The following is a 15,937-nucleotide window of genomic DNA, read 5'->3' as shown; positions in this document are numbered from 1 at the left end:
GAGCCAAGGGGAGACACTGAAGGAACGTACTGAAGTGACTGCAGGACGAGAACAGTGGCAAGAAGATGGTAGGAAGAAATCTACTTAATTAATTAATTAATTTATTTATTTTGAAATGGAGTCTCTGTTGACCTGGCTGAAGTGCAGTGGCGTGATCTTGGCTCACTGCAACCTCCACCTCCTGGGTTCAAACAATTCTCCTGCCTCAGCCTCCTGAGCAGCTGGGATTACAGGTGCCTGTCACCACACCCAGCTAAATTTTTGTATTTTAGTAGAGAGGGGGTTTCACCATGTTGCCCAGGGCGGTCTCGAACTCCTGCCCTCAGGCAATCTGTCTGCCTCGGCCTTCCAAAGTGCTAGGATTACAGGCGTGAGCAACTGCGCCAGGCCAAGAAGAAATCTAGAATCATGTGGATCCCAGGCAAAACCTTTGAGCTGACTGAGTCTAGAAGGAGGTATCAGCTACAGGACAGTGATGGACATATGTTGGTTTGTCCCTCTTCTTCTGGAACATAACCTTTCTCTATTCTGGAGCCTGTATGGGGCTAACCCAGCTGGCCCTCTCCTCTAGTCTCACAGGTGAACATGTGACCTAGATGTGTCTAGTAAAGTACCCCAAATTCTTGGCCATAGTGATTCAAGATAGACACATGTCCAGGCTGGGTAAAGCAATCAAAATACTCCTTGATACATGTTTTATACAAATATTAGGGAACATGTTTTTTGTTGGGCTGCTGAGTTTGCTATGTTAAGTCTTGGGCTACTGGAAGCTATCACAGAAAAGAAGTATGGAGAGACATGTCTAAGATATGGAGAGAGAAAGAAACAGAACCCTGCTGACTTTTTTTGAATGTCCGTATCCAGTATTACCTGAAGGTACTCATTTGACTTTCCTGTTCTATGAAACTAAAATTACTTTTTGCCTAAATCAGTTTGTCAAGCCTCTATTGCCTACAAACGAAAGTGTTTTAGGAAATGTAAGTTCCAAATCCAAAGATCAAAAAGCTTCATGAACCCTAAATATCTGAGACAGGTCTCAGTTAATTTAGAAAGTTTATTTTGCCAGGACTGAGGATGCACGCCCATGACACAGCCTCAAGAGGTACTGATGACATGTGCCCAAGGCAGTCAGAGCACAGCTTGGTTTTATACATTTTAGGGAGACATGAGACATCAATCAACATATGTAAGATGAACATTGGTTCATTCTGGGAAAGGCGGGACAACTTGAAGCAAAGGCGGGATGTCATAGGTAGGTAAGAGACCAATGGTTGTGTTCCTTTGAGTTTCTGATTTGCCTCTCCAAAGGAGAAAATCAGATATGCATTTGTCTCAGTGAGCAGAGGGGTGACTGAATAGAATGGGAGGCAGGTTAGTCTAGAGCAATTCCCAGCTTGACTTTTCCCTTTAGCTTAGTGATTTGGGGTACCCAAAATTTATTTTCCTTTCACAGTTTCTTTCCTTGGCAACACCCACATTAAGTAATTAGTTTATAGAGGCATGTAGGCATTAAGGACAAGACATTATTCTAGATGACGGGGGCCTGCTAAGATTCATCTATCTATCAATCTGTAAGCATTGACTGAGGTACATGCATGAATCAGTTACTGTGGACACAGAGCTCATTGTGACACAGTTTTTTTTTGCCTTTGAAGACATCACAATTTAGGAAGATGTAGAAACCAATCTCTAAAGTCCACTTTACTTCTAGAGTACAGAGTATGATGCTTCATGGTTAGAAATGACTTCCAAAATCAGATAAAGATACAAACATCTGATAAAAACGCCTAAAACATGGATCTTATTCTTAATGAATTTGTTAATATAAAGAGGAAGGGCATAGGGATGAAAACCCATGGGCTAGAAAACAGAATGGGGTTGGAACCAAACAACAGATGGTCTAGTCAGCTGCTATGGAGCTCAGACAAGGGAGAGATCCCAGAGAGCTATCATTCAGCAGGGAAAGCTTCATTGACAAGATTGGCTCTGGAAGGGGCTTTCAAGGCTAGATTGGATTCTGGTTGGTTGCCTAGGTGGGAACTTTAAATCTCTGGGTAGGCGGGCCAGTAAGAGGGTGAGCAGGCAGTGCCGACCAAGCAGATTAGCCTTGCCTGGTGGCTGGGATCCCTATGGGGGAGGCTTAAAAAGTGCCTAAGGTAAGGATTTGTCATTAACAATGCCTGGATATTCGAAGATCTCCTAATGCCTCTGTATTAGATCAGATTTAGTTTCATCTGAAACAGCAAAGACTCAAGTATCTGTAGTTTAAGCAAGAGAAACATTTCTTTCTCTCTCAGATAGCTGAACATAAGCATTCAGGGGCTCACATGATTTCTCCATGGTTCGGGGAGTTAGGTTACTTCTATGATCTGAATGTTGGTATACCCCCAAAATTTATATGTTAGAACCCAATACACCAGGTGATAGTATTAAGTGGTCAGGACTTTTGGAAATGATTAAGTCTTGAGGGCTCCATCCTCATGAATAGGATTAGTGCTTTTATAAAAGAGACTGGAATGAGCTTCCCTTAACTCTTTCACCACATGAGGACACAGGATGAAGATGTCACCCATGAAGCAAATAGAGGGCCTTCACCAGATACTGGACCTGTTTGCACCTTGGTATTGGACTTCCCTGCCTCCAGAACCATGAGAAATACATTTTTATTGTTTATGAATGACATAGTCTGGGGTAATAGTGGCAATAATATTGAGTATTACTAATACTTAGTAATAGACTGAGACATTCCTGCACCAATTCCTGTCAAATTCCTGAGACCCTGGTTATAGCAGCAGGAAGGACTAAGCTACTATTATCTTGTTGTCTGCTTTCCAGAGGTCAGTGCCCTTGTCCACATTGTCTAAGATGATTAGCCACTGTGTCTGCGTTTCAGATACAGGAAGTGGGAAAGAGAAAGACACACATTCCTCCCCTATAAAGGCAGGACTTAGATGTGCATTCATCACTACTGTTCATAATCCGTCAGCTGGAACTCAGTCACATGACCACAGCTAACAGCAAGAGGGGCTGGGGAATGTAGTTTTATTCTGAGAATCCTTGTATTAAATCTCAGGGATTTCTAGACTGGAGAAAAAGAGAGGCATCAATTTCAGGACACAACCAGTCTTGGTTACAACCTCTTCTTCCAGGGAGCTGTTGAAGGGTTGAAGACCAGGGAGTCTTGAAGATTAAGAAACACATGTCCCAAGACTCTTAAGAATGGCTAATCCACTTCTTTCTTCCAGCTTCACACATTAGCTACATAATGAAATTAGGGGAAATGTAAGAAAAATAGAGATGATTTTTGCTGAGCACTGTTTCAGGAACTTTCCACAGCAATTTAATCTTCACAACATCATGATGAAGTAGCCATTATTATTGTCATTTTAAGGATGACGAACTGAGATTCAGAAACAGGAGATAAAGGTGAGAAACTAGCATCTTTGACTCATTAGAAAAGCCAGGCACTTTATATCCATTAAATATGCCAAGCATTTTATGTTTAATAACTCATTAAATCCTCATGATTCAATCAGATAAATACGATTTCCTTCTATATATGGGGACATATAGATAAACCTAGAATTTGGATCTGGGTCTAATTCCAAAAGTCAAAATATTTTCATTGTACAGATGTATTACTTATTGCTACTGTCAGCTACAAAGTTTTTTGGTATGGGTTGATTATTTTATTTACTCACGAGTTAACTAATTAATTAATTTTAACGAAGAATTTTTAAGCACCCAGGAGGTGTCAGGCACAAGTTCCTGACCTCTTAGAGCTCACTTTCTAGGTGAGGAAATATTCATTTATTGAAAAACAAACACTTATTATATGCTTCTTATGACCAAGACCTGGTATTACAAAGACAAAAAAGTATAATGATTGCCATACAATAGAAATCAATAAATATTGAGTTAATTAAAAACATAGCCCTTGGGAACACCACAATCTATTAGTGGTGGGATGCAGAACAATGTGAATTTGGGAGAGGATGGTTTGAATACTGTGCTATATTGGCTACAGCCGCCTATCCAAAGACTGTCTTTGGAAGAGCTGAATATGAAGGAACTGTTCTTCCCTGAGCTCCCTGTGAGTAGGATCTGCTTTGTAAACCAAGGACATGCAGAAGCGTGGGAGGAAGCAGCACCTGAACCTGGAGCCAGTGACTAGGAGATGAGCTCAGTCCTTGGCCAAGCCTGCTGCAGGTGTTGACTTTTTCTGCTAAAAAACCTGGTCATGACTTCAGGGTGATGAAGGGCAACTTGAGAAACAGACAAAAAGGCAAGAACTCCTTAAGTACATCTGTGTTAAATAATTTCTGGATTTGGTAATGAACTCAAGGTGTTTCTGAATCAGGTGAAAATGGGGGAAAATGTTGAGGAACACTTTCTGTTTATGCCCTTTTAGTTTCTCCCCCACCTCCTATCTCCCTCCAGGGTACTTCTGATCACACATGTAAGACTTATCTATGCTGGAGCCAAGGGTGATGATGGCTTTGTGACGGAGATTTCTTAAAGGAAGATACGAATTTTAATGTCTGGATAGGTGCTCAGATGGAAAAGGGTCTGAAAGGAGAGATTGCTGAAATAGAATGTTTCTAGATTGAAAAATGCCCTGGAAGGGAACATGGGAATCTCACCATTCCAGGCACCCCCATGGGGCTGCTGGGCTTTTTTTGTGGCATGATTACCATCTCCATTCGTATCTTATGGTTGGGCTGTTGATAGTTGTCAAGAGAATCTCTGATTCAGAGAGAGGAAAAATGGAGGGTAATAGCAGTTCTTTTTTGAACTGGGGCTATCTATTAACCTACCTTCTAATGGGATTGTATATTGGATTGGGAATAGCAAAACATTCTTTAAGTATAAGTACTTTTAGTCAGTGTGGGTACACACCCCCATAGTGGCATCATGTGTGGAAGTTCTTTAGGGGGAGAGAAAAAGATTAAAACCAAGACAAGCAAAGTAATCAATTCAAATATTTACATCCAAAATCAATGTTACTATTTACTTCATTACCTTAGAAAGCTGCACACTGATTCCAGTGGAGCTACCACTTAAGAAACATTTTTGGACTTTCTTTCTCATTTGTTTTTCAAAATGCCTTTACAGTCATGGTCTGTGTCCTTCAATAAAGTACTTCTCATTGCTTTTCAGTTGTTCTTTGTTTTAGAAATACAAAAGGTGGTAAAAGAATTAGAAAAAAAATAGTTGATATCTTAACATGGAAAGAAATTGCATTCTTTTAAATTGTAGAATAAATAGTTTTTGTAGAAAATTTGGAAAATAATAATTAATACAAAGAGGAAAATAAGAATTTTCCTATAACCCCATCACACAAAGAAAAACACTTTCTTCAAGGCTTTATAATGCACACATATGTGGCAGGTTTGTTGACTTGTTTTCACTGCTTAAGTGAGAGAGAATAAAATGATAATTAATTTCCCTACTTCTCTCATTTCACCCTTTTCTTTTCTATCCTCTTCTCTCAACACATGCACATACCTCTGGGAAAAAAAAATTCAAAAGCCACTCATGCCTTTGAATTCTAAGGTTTAAGCTCATCTGTGTGTGGGTTTGTGTGTGCCTCTGAGTATAAGTGGGCAAAGGTATATGGATTGGATTTAAAGGATGGAGACTAACAGTTTATTTGGGTCTTGGGGTCATCAAAGAAATAATCAGGCAAAACATTAGTTTGGAAGATTAGGTTAGTCATAGAATTAAGGCAGAATTGTCCTACAAGAAGAGGAGAGAGATAAACTGGAGTTTAAATATGGAAGGTAAAGTGGGCCGGGCACGGTGGCTCATGCCTGTAATCCCAGCACTTTGGGAAGGCGAGGTGCAATCACCTGAGGTCAGGAGTTTGAGACCAGCCTGGCCAACATGGAGAAACCCTGTCTCTACTAAAAATACAAAAATTAGCCGGGCATGGTAGCACATGCCTGTAATCCCAGCCACTCTGGAGGCTGAGGAGGGAGAATTGCTTGAACCCGGGAGGCAGAGGTTGCAGTGAGCCATGATTGTGCCACCGCACTCCAGCCTGGGCAACAGAACAAGACTCTGTCTCAAAAATAAAATAAAATAAAATAAAGTGGTCCTAGAAAAGAGGTGAAGTATCCAGGGGAGGTTGAGAAGAGAAAATGATCACAGGTCTTCTAAGACCTGCACCCCCTCCCCACACACCAACAGTGGCAAAACCTCTGATGGTGCTTCTCCCAGGACAGAACACCAACCCCACTACTTTGAGTACAATGGCAGAAGCCTCCTGTAGTCAAGCCTGTGACAAGGCCAGTACTATGAAAGGCATTTCTCTTTCCACCTTCCTTCCAGAACTGCAGCCCTTGTCAATACCAGGTATATTTTGAGGCATTATGGCAGCAGAGGCAACAACCATGGCCTGAAAACCTGCACATTTTTATTTCTTGGTACCACAAGAAGCATTGGGATAGTCAGAAGATCTACAGGAAGATGTGTATGTGTACAGGGTGTGGTGTGGGGAGAGGGAGGCCCAGCTGTTTTTAATAAGGCTCTTTCAGCCATGTAGGATGGGGGTTCTAAGCCAGATTTCATTCGAATTAGAAAAAGAAATGTGATAGTTCTTGCACCTGCACAGAAAGAGCAAATTCATGCCTGATATAGCTGTGCTTTTACAAATGCAATAAGAATGGAATCACACTGTATAATGTATCATAATCATTCCCTGGTATTAAATATTCTCTTGCAACATAATTTAAAATAGCTGCATAGTAACTCATTGTGTAGCCAAAGTATAATTTTTCTACTTCCCTGTAACTAGATGTTTAAATGGTTTCTCCTAGTCTCTAATATACAAATTTCTGAGATGAAGCAATACAATTGCTATATATCTTTACTCACATTACTTATTATTTCATTAAGATCATTTCCAAAATAACTCCTGGGTCAAAAGTCTTACAGAATTCTAAAGTTCTTGAAGTCTTGATTCATATTAATAAATTGTCCCAAAGAAAGTTAGAATCATCAACTTACTCTCCACCAGCAAGTTAGGAAATTACCCATTTCCTGGCACTCTCTTCTATTCTCGGAAGTAACATATTTTCAATGCTGGCAGTTGAATTGGTGAAGAATAGTATTGCCATGGTTTAATACAATCTTTTTTTAAAAAGGGTAATTATTTCTGTTGCTGATATTAGTTTCAGACTTCTGACTGATTTATAGACCTGATTCTCCTCCCTAGAGCAGCATGTGCCCTGCTAAGGACAGGCTACAAGATGTGCTGTCTGCCTTCTAGGAAGGTGGCTCCATCTGGATGCAAAAGAAAGGATGGGTTGGGGGAGGGAGTGAGCAGCCCTGGGAAATGTCCCTGGCTCAGCAGCTCTTTCTCAGCAACAATTCTGCAGTGTAGAACAGGAAGCATGCATGCTTTTGGGGGCAGCTAGCCACCTTGTGACAGCTGTTTACTAACTGCAGAGCTTATGTGCTCTTGGATGGGTTACTTCTCTTCTCTAGGACTCATCTTCTCAAAAGTTAAGTCAGGAAAGATAATCATATCTCCCTCATTGGCTTATTGGAAGACTAAGTGAGACAGTTCATAAAATGCATCGAGCACATTATTAGCACTTAGTAAGATTTCAGGAAGTGTCAGTGGCTATTATTAATATCTAAGTCTTTATTTTGGGATTCTGACATTACAATTTACTTTTTAAAAATGGCCAGCATTGTTTTTACTTCATTTATCCAGGTACATATGAATGTCTTGTTTTCCTGAATAAGACTTTAGCTTTTCAAGAAATGCACAGTGCAAAGATTGAGAAAGTTTGAAATAGAGAGAAAAAGAAAAAAAGTCCTAACAACACAAGTTTTCCTGTATTCATCCTTGTCTTTCTTTACTTGCATGTGTTTGCATAGCTATAATGATCGTCCATATGTAAATTTATATCCTAAGTTGTGCGTTTATGTTAATTTTTATATTGGTATTTGGTCTTTGTAGTTGCCATTTTTGGTGTCTGCTTATTACTCCCTTGAGTGAATGTCCTGAAATTTCTGTGATGATTCCTTTATTATTGGACATTTGGGGGTATTTCTAATTTTTTGTTATCATAAGCAGCATGATTGTAGACATTGTCTTTCACATGGTGTTTTTCATATTTTGACTTTTTCCTTAAAGTTCATGGCCAGGAGTGCATTGCCAAATTGTATTTGCCAACTGACAATGCCATCAGCAAACCAAAAATATGTTTTATTGCACCCGAAGTAGCAAAGCTTTCTAGCTTTTGGTTATATATATTATGCAAACTTGCAAAAAGTAACCCCATTGCCTTTTGATTTGCATTTCTTTCATTACTTGTGATGAACAGTTTTCTCTCTTACTGGAGCTAGTTGTTCTTCCTCTTTTATGATTTTTCAAAACCATTATGATAGCTTCTTGAATTACCTTAAAAATGGTTTTCTGTGTACCTCGGAGCACTATTACATTGTCATCAATAGTTATTTAGTGCCTACCATGTGCACAGAACTGTCCAGGCACTTGCTGTGGGCTTGCTAATGCAGGAGAGCTGGACTGGACAATAACATGCAAAGGAGTGATAGGGAGATAGGGCTTGGCCGGTAGAGCAGGTGCCACCTAAAAGGAGAACACGATGAAACTGAACATCTTCTCAGGTATTTATTGGCATTTGATTTATTCTTCTTTGAATCGTCTAGTTGAGTCACTTGTTCATTTTTTCTATTTTATTTTTTGAGATTTATGGGTGCTCTTTGTATATTTTGATGTTTTGAAATGTCACATGTGTCTGTGTGTGTGTGTGTATGTTGTATGTGTGTGTGTGTGTGTGTGTGTGAAAGAGGCAGAGAGAGAGATAATGATACTATATATCTCTATATGAATTGTATTAGTTTGCTCAGGCTGCCATAAGAAAGTTCCATAGGCCGGGCGCGGTGGCTCACGCCTGTAATCCCAGCACTTTGGGAGGCCGAGGCGGGCGGATCACGAGGTCAAGAGATCGAGACCATCCCGGCTAAAACGGTGAAACCCCGTCTCTACTAAAAATACAAAAAAATTAGCCGGGCGTAGTGGCGGGCGCCTGTAGTCCCAGCTACTTGGGAGGCTGAGGCAGGAGAATGGCGTGAACCCGGGAGGCGGAGCTTGCAGTGAGCCGAGATCCCGCCACTGCACTCCAGCCTGGGCGACAGAGCGAGACTCCGTCTCAAAAAAAAAAAAAAAAAAAAAAAAAAAAAAAAAAAAAGAAAGTTCCATAGAATGGGCATTTTATTTTTTATTTTTTTAAGATGGAGTCTCATTCTGCTGCCCAGGCTGGACTGCAGTGGCACCATCTCGGCTTACTGCAACCTTCGCCTCCTGGGTTCAAGCGATTCTCCCACCTCCACAGTAGCTGGCATTAGAGGTGCCTACCACCATGCTTAGCTAATTTTTGTGTTTTTAGTAGAGACGGGGTTTCACCATGTTGTTCAGGCTGGTCTGGAACTTGTGACCTCAAGTGATCCACCCATTCGGCTTCCCAAAGTGCTGGGATTATAGGCGTGAGCCACTGCGACCAGTCTGAGTGTTTTAAACTCAGAAGTTTATCTTCTTACGGTTCTGGAGGCTAGAAGTCCAAGATCAGTGCGTCAGCAAGTTTGGTTTCTCCTGGAGTCTCTCTTGTTGGCATATAAATTGTCCCCTTCTCACTGTGACCATTGCTTTTCCCTCTGTGAACTGGTGCCTTAATATCTCTCTCTGTGTCTAATTTCCCCTTCTTATAAGGATAGCAACCACTCAAATAGGATTAGGGTCTACACAAAGGACATTATTTGAATTTAATTACCTTTTTAAAGGCCTTATCTCCAAATATAGTCACATAACCAGGTACTGGGACTAGGACTTCAACATATGAATTTTGGGGAACATAATTCAGCCCACGACATCGAAATAGATTTATACACATATGTATGCATACATAGAGACATAACTTTTTAAATGTATTTATATTTCTGCATAATAATTATTTACATTTTTATTTAGTTAAGTCAGGTATCAAGAGTTGAGTTTCCTAGACACAGACACTGAAGCAGAGATGTCTGTTTGTTTGCTTGTTTTGTTTTGTTTTGAGACAAGGACTCACTCTGTTATCCAGGCTGGAGTGCAGTGGCACACTCATGGCTCACTGCAGCCTTGACTTTCCAGGTTCAGGTGATTTTCCCATCTCAGCCTCCCAAGTAGCTGAGACTACAGGTGCGCATCACCATGCTTGGCTAATTTTCTGTATTTTTTTTTGTAGACATGAGGTTTTGCCATGTTGCCCAGGCTGGTCTCAAACTCCTGGGCTCAGATGATCTGCCCTCCAAGAGATTTATTAGTTTTTCTTGAAAACTGTATGTGAAATAAGGGAATTAGGATTCAGTTTTAAGAAAACTGTGAGTAAAGTGAGAGAATTAGGATGAAAGAGAGGAAGAAGCAAGGATGTGGGTTTGGATTAAGTCTAGCCTCAGCTTCACGAGGCTAGGGAGAAGAGCTGACAGAGACTTCCAGCTCAGGAGGCATAAGTTGCCAAAGGACAGATCTCCAGAGAGGGTTTTGTGGCAGTAACTGTGGAAACTGGCACATCACGCTTCCAAGAGAAAAAAAAGAACCTAGGTGCCTGAACCAGGCATATACAGCATCTACAGCATCACTTTTTGCATCATTTTTGCTGAGACTTAGTCCATAGGTAGAAGAATTGTCTCCAATGTTTGATCATATTTTCTTCCAATATTTTTATGGTTAAAAATCTACTTGTAATATTTTTCTATATGGTGTGAGGTAGAGATATAATATGATATTTTCCCAATGGCTAATGAGTTTTCTCAGCACCAATCACTGAAATAGAGTACTGGGGCCTAATAGGGCCGGACTAAACAGGAAATTTCTGCTTGGTGCCAAGCTGGGTGTGGAAGTTGAGAACACGGGCTTTTGGCAAAAGCTTTTATTCCCAGCTTTCTGACTAGTTCCCCTTGGTCTAAGACCAAATGTTCAACCCAACTCTACTCCCATAAGGAGCAAGTAATAGGGAGAGAAATGATGAAACTTGGCAGTGAGAGAAAACTTACACCCAGCATTGACATTCAGCTCTGCCAGTGAGGCCCTACCATTATTATGAGAAGGTTTGTTCTCAGGGACAGTGCCTATTCCCTGACCTCTAAGAATTGGGACTCTAAAGAGATGGAAGTCGTTCTCCTTGCCTCATGTGCTCGAAGTTGCTTCTCTTCTTTTCAGGAGCACTGGAAATTCCTGGCTTGAGTATTTCCAAATGGACTTCCAAGGCTTCTTCCTCCTGGAGATGTTTTTGCCCCAGTGGTTTTCATGATTGCATTTTCTTCTTTAAGGAAGGTACTTCTGCATTGGCACACAGTGCATTTTCCTCCCTGGTGAGCACTGAAAAAACACATTCCTCCATTTTTTCTGTAATGTCCAACTCCTCTGGCAAACGACCACTCTTCCTATCTTGGCAAAACCCTGATGAGTCCTTAGTTGGCCTCTTATTCCTTTTATAGTAGAAAAAAAGTTGTTCTATTATCTGTCTTAACTTCTAATAAAATCTTCATTTTATTCTCTAGTTCACTTTTCTTATCATTTTGAAGCACTCCCTTCACCTCCCAGTAAACTTCCCCTTCCTCTTGGGTAAAGTACCTGATGTGTATACTTTTATAACTCCAGTGGCTTTTTCTTATCTCTGATTACTTCACATTGAATTAGCTCAATCTGGCTGGGGGCACTCACACACATGATTGCTTTAGTGATATAGTAACCTTGCTGGAAAGGTCTCCTAGTATTGCTGATGAACTATCTGAAAAATGCTGACTTTAGCCTGGTGTGTGACCCATGTCAGGGATGGGAATGGGATGCATCCCTGTCTTCAGATCTGTAATTTGCTTGCTCACTCGAGTCTCTTAGAAGCTAATGTAACAGGAAATATGGTTTCCCGACTATAGCAAAGAAGGAAGTAGGGTGACTTTCCACAGTAAATTATAACATATGGTCATTAAGTAGGACGATGATCAGGGAAGCCAGTGAATTTTCAAATAGATGCAGTGATTCCTTTGAACCAGCCTGCATATGACTTTGTCAAGGTCATAGTCAATGGAAAAGACATGGTCAATGATCATTAGGTCCAGCTTTGGACCCTGAACGTGGTGGCACACACACTGGGTGGCAGTCACTCCTGAAGCTACCTGTAATGCTGCTCCAATAGGTAAGGCATGCTTGAAAGATGAGACCAATAGAGCCTATTTGATCCAGCCTGTAACTGATTAAACCTCTCTTACTCCCTCATTCATTCATCTTTATGTAACAGGAGCAGGCTTACCCCAGTTCAAAATTTTGAAGAAGGCAGTTAATTTTCTTTGTGTCTATCACCTCATTTTGAGTTGGGCATTCTGCTTCTCCCCCTCCATCCTCAGAGGCTGTCATATTTGCTCTCACCCTTCCTAGATTATTCTCCTCACCATCCTACATACATGCTAGTGCTTTACTCAACTCATGCTATTTCTTCAAAATGTACTCCTTCATGGTTCTATTCCCACAGAGTCAGAGATGAGTGACTGGCTGGATGATCTGGTTCACCACTCATCTAAGGTATGACGACATGGCAGAGTTAACTCAGCAATGAGTTACCAATATGTGAATTTCCAGCATCAGTGGAGCTGGTTGGATAAGTTTTTTACAGAGTGCTGGCATTGGAGCAAGTTAAGCTCATTGATGGAGAATATAAAAGTGGTTGCCTACTTTCAAAGTAAAATTTTCAAAAAGTTAAAAAAAACTTTTATGCAAAATATAATGAATTCATGTCAAAATGAATTCATGTCAAAATGTATTCAGTTTATCAATGAGTGAACCAAAATATGGTAAAGCTAATTCAAAGAAAAATAAAGGAACTACGTATTGACAGACAATAAAAGAAGAATGTTAGATGAACATTGCCAAATTAGAGATAGACTTCTAGATAAGATACAAAGCTGCATAATATCCTATAGGGTGATATAACTGCAACCTTAGGGGCTTTCTTTATTACTGGACAGAAATCATTTGCATGTGTACTGGCTACAAATGTACAGGTTAACTTTGAACAGTATCTGAGTTCTAATCAATAGAAAGGAAAAGGTCAAACAGAGGTATATTCCTCTAGGTAGTTCAGTAATCTTTGGGTGGGCCTGGAAAACGATGTGACAGTATGACACTAAAGAAGACATGCAGTCCTCTTTCTTCTTTCCAAGTTTTGGACTCTCTCTCTTTCTTTCTCTCTCTCTCCCTCCCTCCCTTCCCTCCCTCCCTCCGTAACAACTTCTAAAGCAGTGACTCTGCAGCTTGATAGTGCACTGGCACTGGTACCTAGATACTGCCCCCAGAGATTCTGCTTTAAGTAGTTTGAGTATAACCTGACATCAGAGTTTTTCAAATCCAGTCCTGATAATGACCTTTATCTCTTCTCTTAGGGGAGACTTTCTGTAAATGACAGAGAGGTTTTTTACCCCATGCAGAAAGAATCCTGTGGTATCTTTTCTGGATTCCTCAGTTTTCATATATGCAGATTTTCCTTGGTCTCATGCTTCTTCATGATAAGGGCAGGAGAGTGAAACATCTCCTTACCTGGCCGGCTAAAGTAGCAGGACTCCAAACCAGTGTAGAATCTGCAGTCCCTGCCAGGAATCTTGTAGCCTATTAGGATGGGGTAGCCAGTTTGAGAAGGGTGCATGGAGGCACAATCTTCCGTAACCAGGGGCTATCTGGTACATTCAGGGAGGAGCATTTCAAGCACCAGCCTTCCTAGGTGTACCACCTGTGCAGAGAGCTTGGCCGTGACAGCGTTTACTTCCTTTAGCAAGAGCCACTGCTTACTCTCTTCTTGGAAAACGTTTAAAATGTTGAGACTGCCTTGACATGTTCATCCTGTCATTTCTCAGCTAAGGATGTTATTTTCACCTCCCCACTGTATTTTCCCCCTTTCCATTCTATTCCTCAATCCCATATTAGGTGTCAGGCTCAGTTTTCTTCAAGGTCTTTATCCTCTGGCCTAGCTTCTAGCACTTGTAGTGACTTTTCAGATGGAATGAGAGGAAAGCATCAGAAAAGGGAAAGAGAGGCTGCAGAAATGCAGGGCACGCATCCAAGAGAGGGCCCCTGGGAAGGTAGTCTCTGCTTCCTCTGTTTGTCCCTACATGCACTAGAACTGTTTCCTCCAAAGCCTGCTCCTTGGAGGTGGAAGCATCTATAGACCCCCCTTCAACAGAGCAGCCCTGCACTTGATTTTATACCTTGGGCCCTATGTAAGGTATTATTTACAAAAAAACAACTCACTTGCCAAAAAGGTTAGAAAGCCCTGAAGGTACCCCAAAATGGGGGCTCTTTTTTTCAGCATTTTAATGAACCTTCCAAATGTTCTTTCTCTAAAATGTTTTCTTAGTCTGCTGGGCTGTGATAAGCTCCCTCTCACAATCAGCTGTTTTCAAGGCTGAACAATGGACTTGCTTTTGGAAATACTGGGTCAGAAAAGAGGAAGGGTCCAGGCACTGAAATAACTGGTCTGACTTCTCAGGATCCAGAGATGCAGTGTTTGACCAAGTCCTTCTCAGAGAGCAGGGCCTGGGAGCAGCATGGCTAAACGGGGGTGCCTCCATCTGGCAAGGGGAGAATGAAAAAAGTGCAGAGCCTCATTACTGAGACAGCTTGTCAGACCCCATGTTGGTTTCCAAAAAGAAGTCTTAGCTGGGCTGGGACCCTGCCTAACCTCCCTGGTCCAGGGTCATGCTCACCACCTTTGCAGCCACCTGTTGACACTGCAGTGCTCTCTTCAGAAGCGAGGGTTCATTTTCATCACTGGCATGTGTTTTGAGCCTCCTCTATTATGTACTGTTATGAACTTATATTTTTTAGAGTCGGGGTCTCAGTGTTTCACCCAGACTGGAGTGCAGTGGCATGTTCATAGCTCACTGTAGCTTCAAGCTCCCAGGCTCAAGTGATCCTCCCTTGATCCTACCTCAGCGTCCCAAGTAGCTGAAACTACAGGAGTGCACCACCATACCCGATTAAAGTGATCCTCCCACTGCAGCCTCCTAAGTAGCTGAAGCTACAGGTGCACACCACCATGCCCAACTAAATTTTGAAGCACATTCTAACCCTTCTGTTGGCCTCCCAGAAATCTTAGCTCTCCTCACTGACCCCCATGCTCCAATAACATTGCACCACCCACTCATGGAGCAGCTTCTGAGGTCTTAACAAAATTCGAGGGCACTTTAAAACAAAATTTAAGAGACAGGGTCTTGCTCTGTTGTCCAGGGTGGAGTGCATTGGAATGATCTTAGCTCATTGCAGCTTCACATTCCTGGGCTCAAACAATCTCCCTGCCTCAGCCTCCTAAGCAGCCAGGACTGCAAGCACACACCACCACACTGGGCTAATACATTTTTTTTTTTTTTTTAGAGATGGGGTCTTGCTACGTTGTCCAGGCTGGTCTCAAACTCCTGGAAGGGCACTTTTATAATAACACCCATGACCAGAGAAGCAGGAAGTGAAGAGCTGAGCATTATGTAGCCTCAGCATTTGTGCTAAGCATGGTTCTAAGTGCTCTTGGGACAACCCTATTCAGTAGACACTATTGTCTTCATCTAACAGATGGTAAAACTGAGCCTCAGAGAGGTTAAGTAAACTGCTTGATGTTGCAGGTCAATAAGTGACAGAGCAGGAATCAAACTCAGGCAGGCTGGCTCCAGAGCTGTGCTCTGAAGCACTATGTCACACCACCCTTAATGAATATTCACAATAGAAGGGCTAAAATACAAGTTTGGGTGTGTTTGGGTGTATTTGGGTGTGTTTCTGACACTTAAGAGAAAGCTTTGAAAACAATGGGAAAGGTTCAGGTTAACAGTGATTCTCAAATTAACAGGGATATTACCTGTTGTACAAAGACCATAATAAGGACTGCAG

The 15,937-nt window shown here is 41.4% G+C and overlaps 1 long non-coding RNA gene across 7 annotated transcripts in view; it reads left to right on the top strand.

Annotated features, from left to right (window-relative positions):
• Positions 1 to 15,937, top strand: part of LOC105375721 (uncharacterized) — a 121,243-nt gene that overhangs the window by 22,350 nt on the left and 82,956 nt on the right. Inside the window, exon 4 of one of the 7 annotated variants that reach the window (XR_001746048.2) lies at positions 1,160 to 5,159. The exons of the other annotated variants lie outside the window; for them this stretch is intronic. This is a non-coding gene — a long non-coding RNA (uncharacterized LOC105375721). Of the gene's footprint in view, positions 1 to 1,159; positions 5,160 to 15,937 lie in introns of those variants that run through there. 7 annotated transcript variants of the gene reach the window in all.

Source organism: Homo sapiens, chromosome 8 (genome assembly GCF_000001405.40).
Source record: "Homo sapiens chromosome 8, GRCh38.p14 Primary Assembly".
In the NCBI taxonomy this organism is placed as follows: Eukaryota; Metazoa; Chordata; class Mammalia; order Primates; family Hominidae; genus Homo; species Homo sapiens.
Note: the sequence above shows the minus strand (reverse complement) of the source record. Positions and strands in the feature narration are given on the sequence as shown.